Source organism: Homo sapiens, chromosome X (genome assembly GCF_000001405.40).
Source record: "Homo sapiens chromosome X, GRCh38.p14 Primary Assembly".
Taxonomy (NCBI): Eukaryota; Metazoa; Chordata; class Mammalia; order Primates; family Hominidae; genus Homo; species Homo sapiens.
The window spans coordinates 152043780-152066490 of NC_000023.11; the positions used below are offsets into that span (position 1 = coordinate 152043780).

Sequence of the window (22711 nt, forward strand, 5' to 3'; positions counted from 1 at the left end):
GACAGGCCCCAGTGTGTGACGTTCCCATCTCTGTGTCCATGTGTTCTTATTGATCAACTCCCACTTATGAGTGAGAACATGCGGTGTTTAGTTTTCTGTTCTTGTGTTAGTTTGCTGAGAATGATGGTTTCCAGCTTCATCCATATCCCTGCAAAGGACATGAACTTATCCTTTTTTTATGGCTGCATAGTATCCCATGGTGTATGTGTGCCACATTTTCTTTATCTAGTCTATCATTGATGAGCATTTGGGTTGGTTTCAAGTCTTTGCTATTGTGAACAGTGCCACAATACACATACAAGCAGCACACAATCTTAAATAGCTATGCATAGGAGGTGACAGAACAATATGAACAAAACCCAAAACAAATAAGGCAAATTGAAATAAACACACAGACAATCCATATAATGGTGTTTGGAGACATAGATTTTAATATGTTTATCATGAATCTATTATGCTTAATATTAATTAAAATGGAGCCTTATGAAAAATAATAAACTAAATATTCTAGAATTGAAAACTTTAAAAATAAACTAAAACTAATAACTTAAAGATGAATTTAACAGCTCTTAACCTAAATAACCATCAGAGAGAAGCTCTCTAAACCAAAAATATATGTATTTGAGATACAGCATGGCAATGGGAATATGCATGTCATAGTAAACTATGTGTGTATTCAGGGAAGTAAAGGAAGACAAAGGTTTTTTTGTTTGTTTCTTTGTTTGTTTTTTAATGAGGAGATTGTCCTTGGCCACAAAGATCCATAGCAAGGGTGATGCCAGTCCTAGTTGGGACAGGCAGTTGCTGAGCAGATGTCCTTGTAAAAGGATATTTATGTGTAAGCTTGCCGTGGACTTTGAGCAAGGTTGTGGATTTTGAAGAATGCACCTCTTGTAAACAGCTTAGAGCTATATTTTTTCAAACTTAACAAGACATAACTTTAAGATGTAAAATTAAATGGAAAGTTTATGATGTTTATTGTATTTATATTAACTTAATTTTGAGTAGTTTATTTAGATTATGAAAACTGAGATATTAGTCAAAGTTATAATTTTAAGGTTTTTGGTAAATTATTTTCATAGTTTGTAAATATTAGGTGTTTAGGAACCTTACAGTTAAATTCATGAGTACTTTGTTGATAACTTAGAAGACAAATTAGTTTCATTTAGTAAAAAGTTACATAAACAAAGATTATTTTTTAAGGCTGGGCTTGTAGTTTTACATCATTTGTGACAAATCTTGACATATTAAAATATTTAGTAGAGACGAATATAAAACTGACCAGTAAACTTGGGTAAAAATATATGTTGACCATTTTAAAGAAATTTATATTTTTATTTTATTGTTTTAAAACTGGTTTATTTATTAAAGATGTATTTAAGTCATGGGAACTAAAGGCATTTGCGTTAATTATATATTTTATATGAATGTGTATTTATTTACGTTAATTTTAATAAAATTTATTTTTGGAAACTGACATTTATTTGTCACCAACCTTATTTCTATCTTGCATAAGAGCCTGTGGAAGAACAGCTTAAGATCACTCAGAGGTTGTTCCTACCCGTTCAGTGGTCTGAGCAGCGGGAGCTGCAAATCAATCTTCCCTGGCAGGCTGAGCACTCTAGTCTTGAGTAGAGAACTGCTTGATAAGCACTGAGGATACCTGCCCACTTTCAGACCAATCTGCAACCTCAGGCTGAGTAGCAGTGAACTCAGGAGCTGCAGCAGCAGTCCATACACCCTGAAACTCCTCCTTGGTTATGGTCTTTTCAGCAACGTCTGCTCTTCCTTTTCAGTCTTTTCAGGATTTCTGTAGAAGTAAAGATCAGGCAGGACCTTCCATGGATGCTCATGGGAGATGGTACCGTGTGTGTACAACTTCCAAGCTGGCATTCACCATCAGACCCACTGAGGGAACTCCCTTGTTGCATGGGATGGCAATGTCCACACAATGCAGAGGAGAATCTGTTTTCCACAGAGCAATGGGAGTCAGGTTAACATAAGATTACTCTGTGAGAGGTAATGGTCAGCCCTGGGATCAGTAACCACCAGAAACTGGAGCTCCGAGAAGGCCGCTTGGATTTGGTTAGTGAAGTTTCCAGGAGTGAAGTGACCAGCAATAGGAATGGCTCCAGTGGCAGTGGTGCGCTTCAGCACAACCCAGCAGCCAGAATTCCTGGAGGATAAGACAGGGAAATCAGCAAGGTTTTCAGTGGCAACAATGACAAGAGCTGCCAGCAGAAGCTTCTCCCAGGTCTTCTTCATATTTATGATGCAGATGCCATCACTTTTCTTTTATACTTGTGCTGTCCCATTTGGAAGTCAAGGTTGGGGCTACCTAAGTGAGTTCCTGCTGCAAGCAAGTTGAGGATATCATCCTCCTTCATTGGCAGGATATCAAGGATTCCAGACATTGTGAAATTTTCTCTTTAAGCGATTCCAGGAATCCAGAACAATGCCCTGTGGACCCCTCTCTAGGTAGCGTGGAAAAAGCTGAATAGAACTTTTAAGGGTTTTTTGACTGATGGTATGAGACTTTATTATGTAGACACTGCATATAACACAATATATGCAGATATGTGCAAACACACTTGAACACATATATGTATACGAATAAAGATTTTATTTTCATTTTAGAATTTTATTTATAAAATAGTAAGATAAAATTATTGGTTTATAGAAGATAGCTGTATCTAAATGATATTTTTAACAAAATTGGGACCTGTTTACATGACTAAACTTTATTTCTCTTGATAGGTAATTTAATGAAAGCTGTGGACTAAAGTTGTGGGTCAAGTAGTTTTTATAGAAATTTGATTTTAGAAAACTTAATTATTTTACTTTTAAAATGAGTTTAGGGTTAAATTTTTAACTGTTTATATATTTTTTAGGACTGGCTGAATTGTATAAGAAAAACAAATAGTTTTGAACTAGTAATAAATTTAATTTTTGTTTGTCAGCTGTTTCGCTTGATTAGTAAATGTGGATCAGGAGGAATTTTAGTAAGTTTTTTGGCTTTTTTTGTTTTTGTGTGGCAGAAAAAGCAAAATTTTTGTGTTGGAAAGAGATATATTATTGTTTTGAGCTTATGGTTCTGACTTGCTAGATTTGAGAGTCAAACATAAACATTTATTTAGGTTTTTCATTGGTTATTAATTTGTAATTAAGTATTTTATTACCATAAGTGATTGTTAGGCAAATTTAGATTTATATTTCTAAAAGATGTTTAGGACACTCATATGTGGGAGTTGAACAATGAGAACACATGGACACAGGGAGAGGAACATCACACACCAGGGCCTATCGAGGGGTGCAGGACTAGGGGAGGGATAGCATTAGGAGAAACATGTAATGTAGATGACAGGTTGATGGGTGCAGCAAACCACCATGGCACGTGTATACCTATGTAAGAAACCTGCACGTTCTGCACATGCACCCCAGAACTTAAAGTATAATAAAAGGTGTTTAGGTTATTGGTTATTATGGAATTGCTGTAACTTGTAAAGTCATTAATTTGGAAGTCTTTAAGCCTTTTTTTTTTTTTTTGGCTTGGAAATCTCTAAGCCTTTTTTTTGGCTATAAAGTCATAAGTGTAAGTTTTATCTCAACACTAGTAGAAAAGTTAGTAGATTTAAAGTAGGGAAGTTAATGAGTACAAATGTATACTTAGATAGAAGGAATAAGTTTTGGTATTCAGTATAACAGTATGGTAGTTATAGTTATCAACAATATATTATATCTTTCAAAATAGCTAGAAGAGAAGCTTTGAAATGTTCCCAACACAAGGAAATGATAAATGTTCAAAGTGATGGATATGATAAATGTTCAAAGGGACTTGATCATTACACATTCTATGTATGTATCAAAATATTACATTCAACCCATAAATGTGTACAAATATTATGTATTAATAAAAATGTAAAGTAGGTAGAGAAAAATACAGAGAGGGAGAACTTAGAGGGCTTTATATGTTAATATTCAATTGTAGTGGTTTTTTAGAGAATTTGAATAACAGCTACTTGCATTTTCAATTTTTGATGTAATTTTATTAGTTTAAAAATGTGTACAATATGTAGTTGGCTGGAGTCTCAGGAAATTTGGCATGTCCTAATGCCTGAGAATTTTGTTTTGTATTTTTTTTTTTTTAGAATAAAGAAAATTTTGCTAATTTTGTTAGAGAATATTAGGGGTTTTGGCTGCCATTTTAGATGGCAGTGACTGTCTTAGTGGTTTTTAATTAGCTATTTTGTGTTTACTATTTAGAATGTCTATTTTTGTTTTGGGGATGTTTTCAGAAACAAGTAAGAGAGAAGAGTTAAACTAAATCAAAAGAAACTAAGATAAGAGCGTTTATAAAAACTTTAACCCAGATGTGTAAATTAAACAAAATATTAAACTAGGTGTGTAGACTAAACTGAAAGTAAATTTATTAGAAAATACATGTTTAACAGACAGAACGTAAATTTTGTAGAAATTAGAGTATTTAGTCTAAAAGACACTTGTCTTTATATTCAAAAAGACTTATCAGAAAGACCAAAAAAATATTTCAGGAAGGTTGTGTGGCCTTTTATTAAGGTGGCCTTATTTAAACTAGAGTTTGAATAATATTAAAAATCATTTATTAAAGGCCGGGAGCAGTGGCTCACACCTGTAATCCCAGCACTTTTGGAGGCCGAGGTGGGCGGATCACGAGGTCAGGATATCGAGACCACCCTGGCCAACATGGTGAAACCCCATCTGTACTAAAAATAAAAAAATTAGCTGGGCGTGGTGGCTGCGCACCTGTAGTCCCAGCTACTCAGGAGGCTGAGGCAGGAGAATCGCTTGAACCCACGAGGCGGAAGTTGCAGTGAGCCGAGATTGCGCCACTGCACTCCAGCCTGGGCGACAATGCAAGACTCTGTCTGTCTCTCTCTCTCTCTCTCTCTCTCTCTCTCTCTCTCTATATATATATATATATATATATATATATATATACACAATATAATATAATATTATTATATATAATATTATATTATATTATATTATTAAATATAAGATTATATTATATATATTTTATTATATTATATAATATATAATATACATTATATATAATATAATATTGTATATATATGAGAAGGAGGCTTGGTTTGAGAGAAGACTTACAAAGGCAGAAAAGGCGAGCCATGGAAATGGAGAGCTCAAAGGTTTTAAGTGAGTACTGTACACTGGTTTTAAGAATCATCAATTTTTGTGGTGATCTTTTTCAAGTTAAAATATGTAATATTACAGCATAGTAGACACAGTGGAAGGAAGAATAATCTGGAAGACAGAAAGAAAATAGCTAGAATAAAAGTCAGAGACAAAAGGGCAGAATTTACAAAAAAGAGTGTACAAGACATAAGAAGAAAAATATGCTTTCAATATGTCAAAGTAGCTTCTATGAAAAATCTCCAAGCGAGTGAAAAAGAAACATAAAACCCAGTGCATGAGTTTCCTACTGCTGTTGCAGCAAATTACCACAAACTTAATGATTTGAAATAACACAAACTTATTCTCTTTCAGTTCTGATAGTAAGTAGTCACAAAGGAACCTCAAAGTAATAAAATCAAGGTGTTGGCAGAACTGGTTCCTTCTGGAGACTTCAGGGGAAGATACATTATTTGCTTTTTGCATATTTTAGGGACTACTGGCATTCCTTGCCTCATGCCCATATTCCAGTCTCTTACTTCCACATCACATCTCCTGTTATTCACTCTAACTTCTAGCCTCCCTCTTATAGTTAATTTTGTAATTACATATGGCCCACCCAGATAATTCAAGATAATCCCCTCATCTCAAGATCTTTGATCTAATAACATCTGCAGAGTCCCTATTGTCATATAAGATAATATGAACAGTTTCTAGGGACTAGAATGTAGACATTGTTTGCGGGGGGGCCATTATTCTGCCAGCTACACATAGACACACTTAAGGGAGGAAAATTTTGAATTACTGAAATTCCAGAAAGAAGAAAAAAATGAGGTGAGTTCACTTTTCTCTGTTAGTTGTCTTTTTCAGGCAATTGTCAATTTATAAGCAGGATGGAGCTGAGAAGCACAGTAGAAAGTGATGGCTAACAACTTTTGGCAGGGCAGTATCATGGGGTTTAAAAAACAAAAATTAGAGTCCAAGACTAGGATTCAAGGGGCCAAGATCTTTGAGGAAAGACAATTGTGCATACGTGATCTTGATATTCTCTGTCAGTTTTCTCCAGCAACCATCTTCAAGATGTGACAAGAGACCAAAAAGCCAAATAGAAAGCAGCAGCTAAGAGCCTCAAAAGCTAAGCAGAAATTTCAGCATTCTCACAGTTCTGGAAAGATAAGAATTGGAACTAAAGATTAGTAAAATGGATGGAGCTTCTTTAAACACTCCAGTATTAAAATTAATATCTGTGAAGGTCAACATCCTAGAAATATTGGAAAACCTGAAATAGATCAGCCATTTCAAAAACATAAATCAACACTCAAATAATCTTTTTTAAAAATTTAATTTCAACCATTTATTCACGGATTCAACCCACATACTCTCACAGTTTCACACTCTTATGGTTGAAGATAATTAAACAACCAGAAAGGCTATTAAATATCATCTGCTACAATTCCCTTATTTTAAAGGTTAAGACATTAAATCTGAAAGATTCATTATCACCCCATATTTCACATTTAATATTAGAATGACTATTGTTTTTTATTTGTTTGTTTTCAGCTTTTATTTTAGATACAGGGGGTACATGTGCATATTTGTTACATGGAAATATTGCATGATGCTGAGGTTTGGAGTATGGATCTTGTTACCCAGGTAGTGAGCAAATTTCTCGACAGGTAGTTTTTTCATCCACCTACCTCTCCCCTCTAGTAACCCACAGTGTATATTGTTCCTACACTTATGTCCATTTGTGCTCAACGTTTACCTCCCATTTATAAGTGGGAATATGCAGTATTTAATTTTCTGTTCCTGCATTAATTTGCTTAGGATTATGGCCTCCAGCTCCATTCATATTGCTGCAAAGGACATTATTTTATTCTTTTTAATGGCTGCATAGTATTCCATTGTGTATATGTACCACATTTTCTTTATCCAATCCTCCATTGATGGACACTTAAGTTGATTCCATTTCTTTACTTTTTAATAATAGGTATTATGAATGGTGTGAGATGGTATCTCATTGTGGTTTTGATTTGCATTTCTCTGATGATTAGTGATGCTAAGAAGTTTTTCATGTGTTTGTTGGCCACTTGTTAGTTTTCTTTTGAGACATATCTCTTCATGTCCATTGACCATTTGTAAATGGAGTTACTTGGTTTTTGCTTGTTCATTTGTTTAAGTTCCCTATGAATTCTGGATATTAGGCCTTGGTCAGATACATAGTTTGTGAATATCTTGTACTCTGTAGACTGTTTAATCTGTTAATAGTTTCTTTTGCTGTGCAGAAGCTCTTTAGTTTAATTAGGTCCCACTTGTCAATTTTTGTTTTTGTTACAATTGCTTGTGGGGATTTAGCCAAAAATTCTTTGCCAAGGTTGATATTGAGAAGAGTATTTCTTAAGTTGTCTTGCAGGAATTTTATAGTTTGAGGTCTTACATTTAAATCTTTAATCCATTTGAAGTTAATTTCTACCTGTGATAAAAAGGTAGGGGCCCAGCTTCAACCTTCTGCATATGGCTAGCCAGTTATCCCAGCACCATTCATTGAATAGGGAGTCCTTTCTCCATTTCTTGGTTTCCTTGGCCTTGTTGAAGATCAAATGGTTGTAGGTGTGTAGCTTTATTACTGAGTCTTCTATTCCGTTCCATTGGTCTATGTGTCCATTTTTGTACCAGTACCAAGTTGTTGTGGTTACTGTGGCTTTATAGTATAGTTTGAATCTGAGTAGTGTGATACCTCCAGCTTTGTTCTTTTTATTCAGGATTGCCTTGGCTATTCAGGCCCGTTTTTTGGTCCCATATGAATTGTAAAGTAGTATTTTTCTAATTCTTCACAGAATAGCTTTGGTAGTTTGAAAAGAATAGCACTGAATCTGTAAATTGCTTTTTATGATTTTGGTTCTTCCAGTCAATGAGCATGGAATATTTTTCCATTTATTTGTGTCCTCTCTGATTTCTTTTAACAGTTCAGTAGTTCTCCTTGTAGAGATCTTTCACCTCCTTGGTAAGCTGTATTCCCAGGTGTTTTCTTTGTGCCTAATGTAAATGAAATTGTGTTCTTGATTTGACTCTCAGCTTGAATGTTATTGGTGTATAAAAGTGGTACTGATTTTTGTACATTAATTTTGTATCCTGAAACTCCTAAAGTTGTTTATCAGTTCTAGGATCCTTTTGTCAGAGTCTTTAGGATTTTCTAGGTATAGAATCATATTGTCTTCTTTTCCTATTTGGATGCCTTTTATTTCTTTGACAGCCTAATTGCTGTGGCTAGGATTTCCATTAGTATGTTGAATAAGAGGGGTGAAAGTCAACATCCTTGTCTTGTTCCAATTTCCAAATGGAATGATTAGAGCTTTTCCCATTTAGTGTAATGTTGGCTGTGGGCTTGTCATAGATGGCTCTTATTACGTTGAGCTATGTTCCTTCAATGCCTAGTCTGTTGAAAGTTTTTATTATGAAGGGATGTTGAATTTTATTGAAAGCATATTCTGCATGTATTGAGATGATCGTATGGTTTTTGCTTTTGATTCTGTTTATGTGGTGAATCACATTTATTAATTTTCATATGCTTAGCAAGCCTCGTATCCTAGAAATAAAGCCTACTTGATTGTGGTGTTGGAACTTTTTGATGTACTGCTGGATTCAATTTCCTAGTATTTTGTTGAGGAATTTTGCATCTGTGTTCATGAGGGATATTGGTCTGAAGTTTTTATTTTTCATTGTGTCTCTGCCAGATTTTGGTATCAGGCTGATGCTGGCTTCATAGGAAGAGTTAAGGAGAGGCTCCTTATCCTCGATTTTTTAGAATAGTTTTGGTAGGATTGGTGTCAGTTCTTTGTATGTCTGGTAGAATTTGGCTATGAATCCATCTGCCACAGGGCTTTTTTTGTTTGGTAGTTTCTTTATTATTGATTCAATTTCAGAAGTTGATGTTGATCTAGTCAGAGTTTCAATCTCTTCCTGATTCAATTTTGGGAGATTTTGTGCTTCCAAAAATTTATTCATTTCTTCTAGATTTTCTAATTTGTATACATAGAGTTTTTCATAGTCGTCTCTGAGGATCTTTTTACTTCTGTGGGATCAGTTGTAATGTCACCTTTGTTGTTTCTGGTTGTGCTTATTTTGATCTTCTCTTTCTTTTTCTTTGTTAATCTAGCTAGAGGTCTATTAATCTTATTTATTTTTTGAGAACCAACTCTTTGTTTCATTAATCTTTTGTATAAATTTTTGCATCACAATTTCATTAAGTTCTTCTCTAATCTTAGTTATTTATTTTCTTCTGCTAGCTCACCCTCAAGTAATCTTAATCCATAGTTGGGCACAGGTGACTTGTCCTTGCACATGCCATAAGGGACATAAAACCTCTCTGTGAGTAGATGATCTAATCTAGTGACTCCACATTATTTTGTATACATATACACACACAAATATAATATCTGACATCAAATTTTTAAAAAATACAAGTCTTGTCAGAAGAGAAAACCAAATAATCAAAATATCAAGCGAACAAAACAAGCAATAATAAGAGACCCACAAATGATACATAAAATGGAGCTATTAGCACATACTTTAATTGTGATTAATATGTTTAAGGACATAAATTACAACATATAAAAGTTCACCATAGAACTAGAACCTATAAAATAATAAATAGATAATTGTAGAGTTAAACAGTAGCAACTCAAATGAAGAACTTAATATAGGGGTTAAACAAGAGATTAGAGTAACAGAAGACAGGGTAAGTGAATTAGATGAGTGATTAATAGATAAAGATGCCCACCTTTACCACTGTAATTCAACATTTTAGTGAAAGTTATAGCCAGATGAATCAGGAAAGAAAAAGAAACAAAAGACATGCAAATAATAAAGAAATAGTTAAAACTATCTTTATTCACAGATGACAAAATCCTACAAGTAAAGAATATACTAAATAATATATACAAATGTTATGTTGTTAAGGATAATAATAACTGAAATCTGCAAAGTTTCTAGGTACGGATCAACTTGCAAAAATTAGTTGTATTTTCGTACACTAGGACTGAAAAATCTGAAAAAAAATTTAAGAATGTAATTTTATTTATAATAGCATGAAAACATAAAAGAGTAGTAAATTTAACCACAAAGGTGTAGGACTCTTACAATGAAAATTTTAAAATGTTGAAAGAAATTAAGTGTGAATTGCCTAAAAAAAAGGAAAGTCATTTCGTGTTCATGGATTGTAAGACTTAATATTGCTAAGATGTCTATACTTTCTAAAGTGATAAGTAGATTAATTGCAAATCCCATAAAAATCTCAATGGCCTATTTTACAGAAATGGAAAAGTTGATCCTGAAATTCATATGGAATTACAAGGGGCCTTGAATTGCCAAAACAATACTGAAAAAGAAGAGTGAATTTGGAGGACTCACACTTCCTGATTCCAAAACATATTAAAAAGCTACAGTAATCAAAATGGTCAAGTATGGGTATAAGGATAAACATATAAATCAATGGAATATAATTGAGAATCCAAACAAAAATAGATACATGTATGGTCAACTGATTTGTGACAAGGTTTCCAAGACCATTCAAAGGAGGAAATAATAATCTCTTCAACAAATGATGCTAGGACAATTGTATAACCACATACAAAAGAATGAAGTAGAATTCTTACCTTACACAATATACAAAGATTAACTCAAAATGGATCAAAGATATAAATGCAAGATGTGAAACTATAAAATTCTTAGAAGAGAACATAAGGGTACATATTCATTACCTTGAAATTGGCAACAGATTTTTAAAATATGACGAAGCAACAGAATAAATAAGTAAATTGGAATTCATCAAAATTTTGAAAATTGTCAATGGGAAGGCACTATCAAGAAACTGAAGGCAAACTATTGAGTGGTAAAAATACTTAAAGATCATATATGTGATAAGTGTCTAATATCCAAAATATGTAAAGAAAAGCTAAAACTCAACAACAAAATGACAAGCAACCCAATTAAAATAAGCAAAGGATTTGAAGAGACATTTCTCCAAAGAAGGTATACAAATGGACAACAGGCACATTAAAAAATGTTCAACGTTTGTCATTAGGAAAATGCAAATCAAAACCACAATAATATGTTAGTTTACATTCACTAAGATGGTTGACACTAAAGAAATAAAAATGGAAGATAATAAGTGCTGGTGAAGATATGGAGAAATTTGAACCCTTATATATTGCAGGTGGGAATGCAAAATGTTGCGGCCCCTTTGGAAATCTGTTTGGCAGTGCCTAAAGAAGTTTTTGTTTTTTAAATGTATATAGAGTTTCATGATCTTTCTGCACTTGCTCCTATTATGTTTTGACACAATTTGAAAAAATGAGTTATGGTTGAAAACACTTAAGTAGAATCAAACAAAGACTTACGAAGAAGAAACGTAAATTAACTATTGGAAATTGAATCCAGTTTAACCTGGACTTTCTCAATTATTTATTTTCCCTTTTTAAGCTAAGCAATAGAACTTTTACATCATACCAAAGAACATGGCTTTACAAAATGAGATTACTCAACCTCCATCTAAAATGAAGGTTAAGATTTTGTTCTTTGGCAATCTTAATATTTGCTAGAATAGTATAAAACAGAATGACAAAATGTCTAAGAATTTATACACTAAAGGGACTTTCAAAATTCTTATAAAGCGCCTCAGAATTTTTTTAACTTTTATTTTAAGTTCAGGGGTACACATGCAGGCTTGTTATATAGGTAAATTTGTGTCACGGGGATTTGTTGTACAGATTATTTCGTCATCCATGTATTAGGCCCAGTACCCATTAGTTATGTTTCCTGATCCTCTCCCTCCTCCCAACATCCACCGTCTGGTAGGTCCCAGTGTGTGTTGTTCTCTTTTATGTGTCCATGTGTTCTCATCATTTAGCTCCCACTTATAAGTGAGAACATGCAATATTTGATTTTCTGTTCCTACATTAGTTTGCTAAAGACAATGACCTCCAGCTCCATCCACAATCCTGCAGATAACATGATTTCATTCTTTTTTGCGGCTGCATAATATTCCATGTTGTATATCTGCCACATTTTCTTTATCCAGTCTACCATTTATGGGTATTTAGGTTGATTCCATGTCTTTTACTATTGGGAATAGTGCTGCAATGAAAATATGTGTGTATGTGTGTTTATAATAGAACAACTTATATTCCTTTGGGCATATACCCAGTAATGTGATTGTTGTGTTCAATGGTACTGCTGTTTTTAGATCTTTGAGGAATCATCACACTATTCTCCACAATGGTTGAACTAATTTACATTCCCACCAATAGTGTGTAAGTGTTCCCTTTTCTCTGCAACCTTACCAGCAACTGTTATTTTTTTTTTTTTTACTTTTTAATAATATCCATTTTCGTTGGTGTGTGATGGTATCTCATTGTGGTTTTGATTTGCATTTCTCAACGATCACTGATGTTGAAATTTTTTGTAATGTTTCTGTTGGCCGCATGTATCTCTTGTTTTGAGAAGTGTTCTTTCCCAATAGAAGACATTCAAGAGGCCAACAAACATGAAAAAAAAGCTCAACATCACTGATCATTAGAGAAATGCAAATCAAAACTACAATGAAATACCATCTCACACCAGTCAGAAAATAATTTATTTATTTATTTGAGATGGAATCTTGCTCTGTTGCCCCAACTGGAGTGCAGTGGCATGATCTCTGCTCACTGCAGCCTCCACCTCCCAGGTTCAAGCAATTCTCATGACTCAGCCTCCTGAGTAGCTGGGATTACAGGCATATGCCACCATGCCCGGCTAATTTTTGTAATTTTAGTATAGATGGGGTTTCACCATGTTGGCCAGGCTGGTCTCAAACTCCTGATCTCAACTGATTCACCCACCTTGACCTCCCTTAGTGCTAGGATTACAAGCATGAGCCACTGTGCCTGGCCTGGAATGGCTGTTATTAAAAAGTCAAGTAACAACAGAGCTGGTGAGGTTGTGGAGAAAGAGGAACACTTTTACACTGTTGGTGGGAATGCAAATTATTTCAACCATTGTGGAAGACAGTGTGGTGATTCCTCAAAGATCAAGAAGCAGAAATACCATCTGACCAGCAATCCCATTACTGGGTATATACCCAAAGGAATATAAATCTTTCTATTATAAAGATACATGCACACGTATGTTCATTGCAGCACTATTCACAATAGCAAAGACATGGAATCAACCCAAATGCCCATTAATGAGAGACTGGAGACTGGATAAAGAAAACGTGGTACATATACACTATGGAATACTAGGCAGCCATAAAAAGGAATGAGATCACGTCTTTCCTGGATGGACCTGGAAGCTGTTATCCTCAGCAAATTAATGCAGGAATAGAAAACCAAACACCACATGTTCTCACTTGTAAGTGTGTGCTGAACGATGAGAACACATGGACACGTGGTGGGGAACAACACACAATGGGACCTATGGGCAGTGCAGGACAAGGGAAAGCATCAGGAAGAATAGCTAATGGATGCTGGGCTTAACATGTAGATGATGGGTTGATCTGTACAGCAAACTACCATGGCACATGATTACCTATGTAACAAATATGCACATCCTGCACATGTACCCTGGAACTTAAAATAAAAGTTGAAGAAAAAAGAAGTGTTCGTTCATGTCCTTTGGCCACTTTTTTTAAAAATTTCATTACTATTATACTTTAAGTTCTAGGGTACATGTGCACAACGTGCAGGTTTGTTACATATGTATATATGTGCCATGTTGGTGTGCTGCACCCATTAACTCGTCATTTAGCATTAGGTATATCTCCTAATGCTGTCCCTCCCCTTCCCCCCACCCCACAACAGTACCCGGTGTGTGATGTTTCCCTTCCTGTGTCCATGTGTTCTCATTGTTCAATTCCCACCTATGAGTGAGAATATGCGGTGTTTGGTTTTTTGTCCTTGCAATAGTTTGCTGAGAATGATGGTTTCCAGTTTCATCCATGTCCCTACAAGGGACATGAACTCATCAGTTTTAATGGCTGCATAGTATTCCATGGTGTATATGTGCCACATTTTCTTAATCCAGTCTATCGTTGTTGGACTTTTGGGTTGGTTCCAAGTCTTTGCTATTGTGAATAGTGCCGCAATAAACATACGTGTGCATGTGTCTTTATAGCAGCATGATTTATAATCCTTTAGGTATATACCCAGTAATGGGATGGCTGGGTCAAATGGTATTTCTAGTTCTAGATCCCTGAGGAATCGCCACACTGCCTTCCACAATGGTTGAACTAGTTTACAGTCCCACCAACAGTGTAAAAGTGTTCCTATTTCTCCACATCCTCTCCAGCACCTGTTGTTTCCTGACTTTTTAATGATCGCCATTCTAACTGGTGTGAGATGGTATCTTATTGTGGTTTTGATTTGCATTTCTTAAAATCCTCAATAAAATACTGGCAAACCAAATCCAGCAGCATATCAAAAACCTTATCCACCATAATCAAGTGGGCTTCATCCCTGGGATGCAAGGCTGGTTCAACATATGCAAATCAATAAATGTAATCCAGCATATAAACAGAACCAAAGACAAAAACCACATGATTATCTCAATAGATGCAGAAAACGCCATTGACAAAATTCAACAACCCTTCACGCTAAAAACTCTCAATAAATTAGGTATTGATGGGACGTATCTCAAAATAATAAGAGCTATCTATGACAAACTCACAGCCAATATCATACTGAATGGGCAAAAACTGGAAACATTCCCTTTGAAAACTGGCACAAGACAGGGATGCCCTCTCTCACCACTCCTATTCAACATAGTGTTGGAAGTTCTGGCCAGGGCAATCAGGCAGGAGAAGGAAATAAAGGGCATTCAAGTAGGAAAAGAGGAAGTCAAATTGTCCCTGTTTGCAGACGACATGATTGTATATCTAGAAAACCCCATCGTCTCAGCCCAAAATCTCCTTAAGCTGATAAGCAACTTCAGCAAAATCTCAGGATACAAAATCAATGTACAAAAATCACAAGCATTCTTATACACCAATAAGAGACAAACAGAGAGCCAAATCATGAGTGAACTCGCATTCACAATTGCTTCAAAGAGAATAAAATACTTAGGAATCCAACTTACAAGGGATGTGAAGGACCTCCTCAAGGAGAACTACAAACCACTGCTCAATGAAACAAAAGAGGATACAAACAAATGGAAGAACATTCCATGCTCGTGGGTAGGAAGAATCAATATCGTGAAAATGGCCATACTACCCAAGGTAATTTATACATTCAATGCCATCCCCATCAAGCTACCAATGACTTTCTTCACAGAATTGGAAAAAACTACTTTAAAGTTCATATGGAACCAAAAAAGAGCCCACATTGCCAAGTCAATCCTAAGCCAAAAGAACAAAGCTGGAGGCATCATGCTACCTGACTTCAAACTATACTACAAGGCTACAGTAACCAAAACAGCATGGTACTGGTACCAAAACAGAGATATAGATCAATGGAACAGAACAGAGCCCTCAGAAATAATGCTGCACATCTACAACTATCTGATCTTTGACAAACCTGAGAAAAACAAGCAATGGGGAAAGGATTCCCTATTTAATAAATGGTGCTGGGAAAACTGGCTAGCCATGTGTAGAAAGCTGAAACTGGATCCCTTCCTTACACCTTATACAAAAATTAATTCAAGATGGATTAAAGACTTAAATGTTAGACCTAAAACCATAAAAGCCCTAGAAGAAAACCTAGGCCATACCATTCAGGACATAGGTATGAGCAAGGATTTCATGTCTAAAACACCAAAAGCAATGGCAACAAAAGCCAAAATTGACAAATGGGATCTAATTAAACTAAAGAGCTTCTGCACAGCAAAAGAAACTACCATCAGAGTGAACAGGCAACCTACAGAATGGGAGAAAATTTTTGCAACCTACTCATCTGACAAAGGGCTAATATCCAGAATTTACAGTGAACTCAAACAAATTTACAAGAAAAAAACAAACAACCCCATCAAAAAGTGGGCAAAGGATATGAACAGACACTTCTCAAAAGAAGACATTTATGTAGCCAAAAAACACATGAAAAAATGCCTTGCCCACTTTTTAATGCAGTTGTGTGTTTTTGTAAATTTGTCTAAGTTCCTAATAGATGCTGGATATTAGACCATTGTTGGATGCATAGTTCGCAAATATTTTCTCCCATTCTGTAGGATGTCTGTTTACTCTGTTGTTAGTTTCTTTTGCTGTGCGGAAGCTCTTTAGTTTAATTAGATCCCATTTCTCAATTTTTCTTTTGTTGCAATTGTTTTTGGTGTCTTCGTCATAAAATCTTTGCCCATTCCTATGTCCAGAGTGGTACTGCCTAAGTTGTCTTCCAGGGTTTTTATAGTTTTGGGTTTTATATTTAAGTCTTTCATCCATCTTGAGTTTATTTTTGTATATGGTATAAGGAAGAGGTCCAGTTTTAATCTTATGTATATGGCTAGCCAGTTATCCCAGCACATTTATTGACAAGGAAATCTTTTCCCCTTTGCTTGTGTTTTTTGACTTTGTTGAAGATCAGATAGTTGTAGGTGTATGACCTTATTTCTGGGCTATTTTGTTCCTTTGATTTATGCATCTGTTTTTGTACCAGTACCAAGATGTTTCGGTTTCTGCAGCTCTGTAGTATAGTTTGAAGTCGGGTAGTGTGATGCCTCCAGCTTTGTTCTTCTTGCTTAAGATTGCCTTGGCTATTTGGGCTCTTTTTTGGGTTCATATGAATTTTAAATTACTTTTTCTAGTTCTATGAAGAATGTCATTGGTGGTTTGATAGGAATAGCATTGAATCTGTAAATTATTTGGGGCAGTATGGCCATTTTAATGATATTGATTCTTCCTATTCATGAGCATGGGATGTTTCTCCATTTGTTTGTGTCACAAGAAGTTAATCATAGAATTATCACTTCACCAAACAATTCTAGTCCTGTGTATATACCCCCCAAAATTGAAAACAAATGTTCAAAGAAATACTTGTATATGAGTGCTCCAAGCAGCATTATTCATAATAACCAGCAAGCAGAAGCAACTCAAATGTCCATCAAATGATGAATACATAAGCAACATGTGATATATCCACACAATGAAATATTATTAAGCCATAAAGGAATGGAGTACTGGTACATGCTACGACATTGATAAACCTTGAAAACACCGTATTATGTTATTCCTTTTATATAAAATGTTTAGAATAGACAAATTTACAGAGACAAAAGCCAGATTTGCGCTTTCCAGGTCCTGGTGGTAGGGTTTATAGAGAGAGTGACTGCTTAGTGGGCATGAGATTTCCTTTTGCGGTCAATGAACATGTTCCGGAACTAGATCGATAATGATTACACAACACTGTGAATGTCCTAAATGTCACTGGGTTATACACTTTAAAATGGTTAGGATAGCAAATTTAATAAGCATATTTTACCACAATTAAACAACGAAACATGAATCTTAGAAAAATTCTTCCAAGAATAGTAAACAAACATAATATTTTGAAACGTATTTTATGAGACCTGAAAAGTATTGATACCAAAACCTAAAATGGGTTCCAAAAGAAAGAAAAAGTATAGGCCTACCTTCCTCATAGATGCAAAAATCCCAAATAAAACTTTTTCAAACTGAACCTACAGACATAGAAAAGGGAGAATACCTAGTGGGGTTTATTTTAAGAATGCAGTATTTGTTTGGTATTTGAAAATAAATGAGAAAAGACATGAAGAAACCTTGTATTTTGGAATGAAAAGACATGAATCTAATCATTAACCTGGTCTTGATCCACAGCCAATCTACAGACCCTGAATGAGAAATATATCTTTGTTGTTTAATTACATAGGAATTTTTGAAGTTAATATTTAGCAAAAGTTAAATAATAGATATGGATTTACCATATTTATGACTTGGTAACCAATATTGGAAAAATGTCAACTGTCTCAAAATTAAGCCATAGTTAGTACATGTAGAATCAAAATCTTAGTATTATTTTTTGTTGTTGGAGAACTTAATAACCTGACTCTAAAATATATGTGGAAATCAAAGTGCCAAAAGTAGCAAAGTGTATCTTGAAGGGAAAGAACAAAATAGGAAGGCTTACAATGATAAATAGCAAGACATGTTAAAAAAAAAGGTATAGTAATTAAAACAATGTGGCATTGACACAGAGACACAAATAGATGAAACAAAATAGAGTCCGTAATCATCCATATATAGATCTTATAAGATCTTCTGATTTATGACAAAGATGACTCTTTAATCCAGAGGGGAATAGATGATTTTTAAAACAAATGGTCTGAATGTATAAGTTACCCATGCATTGGGGAAAAAAAAATCAAATCCTAACGAGTATATCACACCATACACAAAGATCAATTCCATATGGATAGTAAGCATAAATGCAAAAATTAAAACAATTAAACTTTTTAAGGATAATATAGAATATCTTCATGACTTTGGAGTAAGCAATACTTTCTTAAATTAGAAAAAAGGCATAATAAAAATATTGATAATTTAGACCTCATTGAAATTATGAACACTGATCATCAAAAGATACCATTAAAAGATAAAAACTTGCAAGCCATAAAGTGGACTAATATACTGGCAATATATATTAGACAATGCATCCAGAATGTATTTGTGTGTGCTTTTATACACAAATACTCCAGAAAATCATTAAGAAAAAGACAGAAATCCTCCCCTCACCAAAATGGTCAAAATACTTCACAGGGACTTCAGCAAGAAGAATAAACAAATAACTAATATATGAAAAGATACTGAAAATAATTAGTCATCAGGGAAATTCAAATTAAAACAGTGATGAAATTCCACTGCCTACACAAATCAGAACAGTTAAAAAAAGAGGCAGAAATTAGCAAGTGCTGAAAAGTTATAGAGAAACTGGATCTCTCATTGACTGCTGGTGAGAATGTAATTGGTACATTTTTTCTGTTCTCAATTATGGATATAAAATATACACACAATAAAATCATCTTTGTAGATATACAGTGCTATGAATTTTTACAAACAGATAAAGTTATATAACTACCACTACAAGATATAGAACATTTACATTACCCTAAAAAGATTCCTTATTTCTTTTTGTAGTAAATCTCCTCTCCCCACTCAGCACCTGGTTAACTTTGATCTGTTTTCTGTCCATATAGCTTTGCCTTATCAAAAATGTCATATATTTAAAATATTAATTTCACTTACCCAAATATTCTGCTCCATCACTCTTTTTTTTTTCTTTTTTTTTTGAGAGGGAGTCTTGCTCTCTCACCCAGACTGGAGTGCAGTGGCATGACCTCAGCTCACTGCAACCTCTGCCTCCCAGGTTCAAGCAGTTCTCCTGCTTCAGCCTTCTGAGTAGCTGGGACTACAGGCACGTGCCACCATGCCCGGCTAATTTTTGTATTTTTAGTAGAGACGGGGTTTTACCATGTTGGTCAGGGCTGGTCTTGAACTCCTGACCTCGTGATCCGCCCGCCTTGGCCTCCCAAAATGCTGGGATCACAGGCGTCAGCCACCGTGCCCAGCTACTCTATCACTTTCAATGTGCACATAGTTACCATTTCCAAGTATATGTGCACATAAAATGTCAGCATAATTTGATCAATTTTATGTTGTTGCCTTCTTACCTTGTTTTCATCATTCTTCTGAATTATGAAAACTGCTGTGAGCATTCTATTACGGTTGTCTCTGTATACTGGTCTGTATGTCCCTTTGAGATAAATTCTAAGTCAGATAAAGTGGGTAAAATGCAAGCTCTACTAGGTACTGGCTATTTTGCAAAATATTTTTATAAAAGTGGAAGAATACTAAAAAGAGAATGTCATATAAATGAAATCATACAGATACAGTAATTAGACTTGATTCTGAATCCTTTTACATAGCAAGATGCATTTGAGATTCATAAATGTCGTATGTATCAGTAGTTCACTTCTTTTTATTGCTGAGTAGTATACCATTTTAGGGATGTATCATAGTATGTTTATATATTCGCCAGTTAGTGAACATATGGGTTTTTCAAATTTTTGTTCTTTATGAATAAAACTGCTAAAACATTCATTAACAAGATTTTACATGAACATTGATTTTTTCATTTCTTTTGAATATATACCTATGAATGAAATTGATGTGTCATAGTGTAGTATATGCTTAAACTTATAAGTAACTGCTATACTATTTTACAAAGTGGTTGTATCATTTTGCATTTCCATAAGCAATGTGTGAGAATTCTAATAACTGCATCCTGTCTAGCACTTGGTATTTATTGTTGTTTTTTTAAAAAACATTCTAATAGGTATGTAGGGGTATTTTATATTGATTTAAATATGCATTTCCTCATAATTATGTTGAACATGTTTGTATGTGCCTATTTGCCATCTATATCTCTGATGAAGCATATAACAAATATTTTGTCAATTAATATATTCAATAGTGTGTTTTCTTATTATTGAGTCTGGGGTTTCCTTATATATTCCATATATACATTCTTTATGAAATATGTGATGTGCAAACAATTTTTCCAAGCTTGTGGCTTGTCTTTTCATTCTTTTAATGTCATTCGAATAATAGAAATTCTAAATTTTGATAAACTCTAATTCATCAGTTTTTCTCTTATGGCTCTTGCTTTTTGTGTCCTATCTAAAAAAATATTTGTCTAACCTAAGGTTTCAAATATTTTCTCTTATGTTTCATGTAGAGGCTTTATAGTTCTTGTTTATATATTTAAGTCTATGATACAATGCAAATTCATTTTGTATATGGCATAAAATAAAGGTCAAGATTCTTTTATTTTTCTTATAAATGTCAATTCTTCCAGCATCATTTACTAAAAGCACTATGCTTTCTTCACTAAATTTCCTTTACATCTCCGTTGAAAATAAATTTACTGTATATGTGTGCATCTTCTTCTGCTAACTCTATTTTGTCCCATTGATCTGTTTGTCTGTATTATGGCCAATCCCACAAAGTCTTGGTTAATTCAGCTTTATAGTGAGTGTTGAAATCAAGTAGTTGAATCCTCCAACTGTGTTCTTCATTTCTAAAATTTCTTTGGCTTTTCTACTTATTGCTTATTTGCTTTGTTTTGCTTTTCCAAAATCAGCTTATAGTTTTCTATTAAAAAATCCAAAGCCCTGCTGGTATTTTGACTGGGATTATGTCAAATCTATAAATTTGGGAGAATTGATATCTTAATAACATTGAAACTTCAAATACATGAATTTGGCATAGCTTTCCAATTATTTTGGTCTTTTTTTGATTTCTCAAACCACTGTTTTATCAATTTTTAGCATACAAATTTTCCTTACAGTTTGTCAAATTTATCCCTATATATTTCACATATTTTGCTTCTGTTGTAAACGGTACTTTTAAAAATTTTCCAATTTTAGTGATTCATTACCAGTATATGGAAATATTATTGATTTTTTAAATTGACCTTGTGTGCTGCAACTTTCTTAAACTCACTTATTAGTTCCAATGGCTTTTATGTGAATTCTTTGGAATTTTCTAAGTAGAAAATTCAGTCAACTGTAAATACACTCAGTTTAATTTTTTTTCTAATATGTGTGCTTTTTAAATGTCCTTACTGCACTGGTTAGTATCCCTAAAATAATGTTAAATATAAGCAGAGAGAGTGCATATTCTTGTCTTATCCTAATCTTAAAAGGAAAGCATAGTGCATTTCAGTATTATGTATAACGTGAACTGTAGATTTTTCGTATATAAACTTTTCTGAGTAAAACAAGTTCTTTTTAGTTCTTAATTTGCTAGGAATTTTATCATGAATTGGTGCTGAATTTTGTCAACTGCTTTTTCTTCATCTATTGATATTATATTATTTTTCTTCTTTATCCTTAATTAATAAATGTATAACTATTTAGATTATCTATTCTTTCCTGAATGAGCATTGGTGGTTCATATATTTCAAAGAATTTGTCTATTTTTTCATCAGTTACCAATTTTGTTGGGATAAATTCAATTATATGAGGCCCTTATTATGCTTTTAAGAGCCTTATTGATAAAGAATTTACCTACCTCAAATTTCACCTGTTTCAAGTGTGTAATTCAATGATTTTTAGTAAATTTATAGAATCATACAATCATCTAAGTTCAATTTTAGAACATTTCCATAATCCCAAAAAGATCACTCATGCCCATTTGCAGTCAATCCCCATTCCCATCCCCAGACCCAGGAAAATACTAATTTCTGTTTCTATAGATTTGCCTTTTCTGGATATTTCACATAAATAAATCCATCCAGTATGTGTTCTCTTTTTGACTTACCAGAACATTTTTGAGGTTCATTCATGTAGCTCAGCAGTATTCTTCTTTTCTCTTCTAAAATTCTACATGATCTGTATTAATAGTGCCTTTTTATTCCTCATATTGCTAAACTGTGTCTTCTCTCACTTTCACACATACAAAAGGTTTATCCTATCAATTTTATCAATAATTTCAAAAAAATTGTATTGATCTTTCTGTATTGCTTTTCTCCCTCAATGCCATTGATTTCCTATCTTTATTATT

At 34.0% G+C, this 22711-nt stretch overlaps 1 pseudogene; it reads right to left on the minus strand.

Annotated features, from left to right (window-relative positions):
• Nucleotides 1465–2491, minus strand: RPSAP60 (ribosomal protein SA pseudogene 60; annotated as a pseudogene).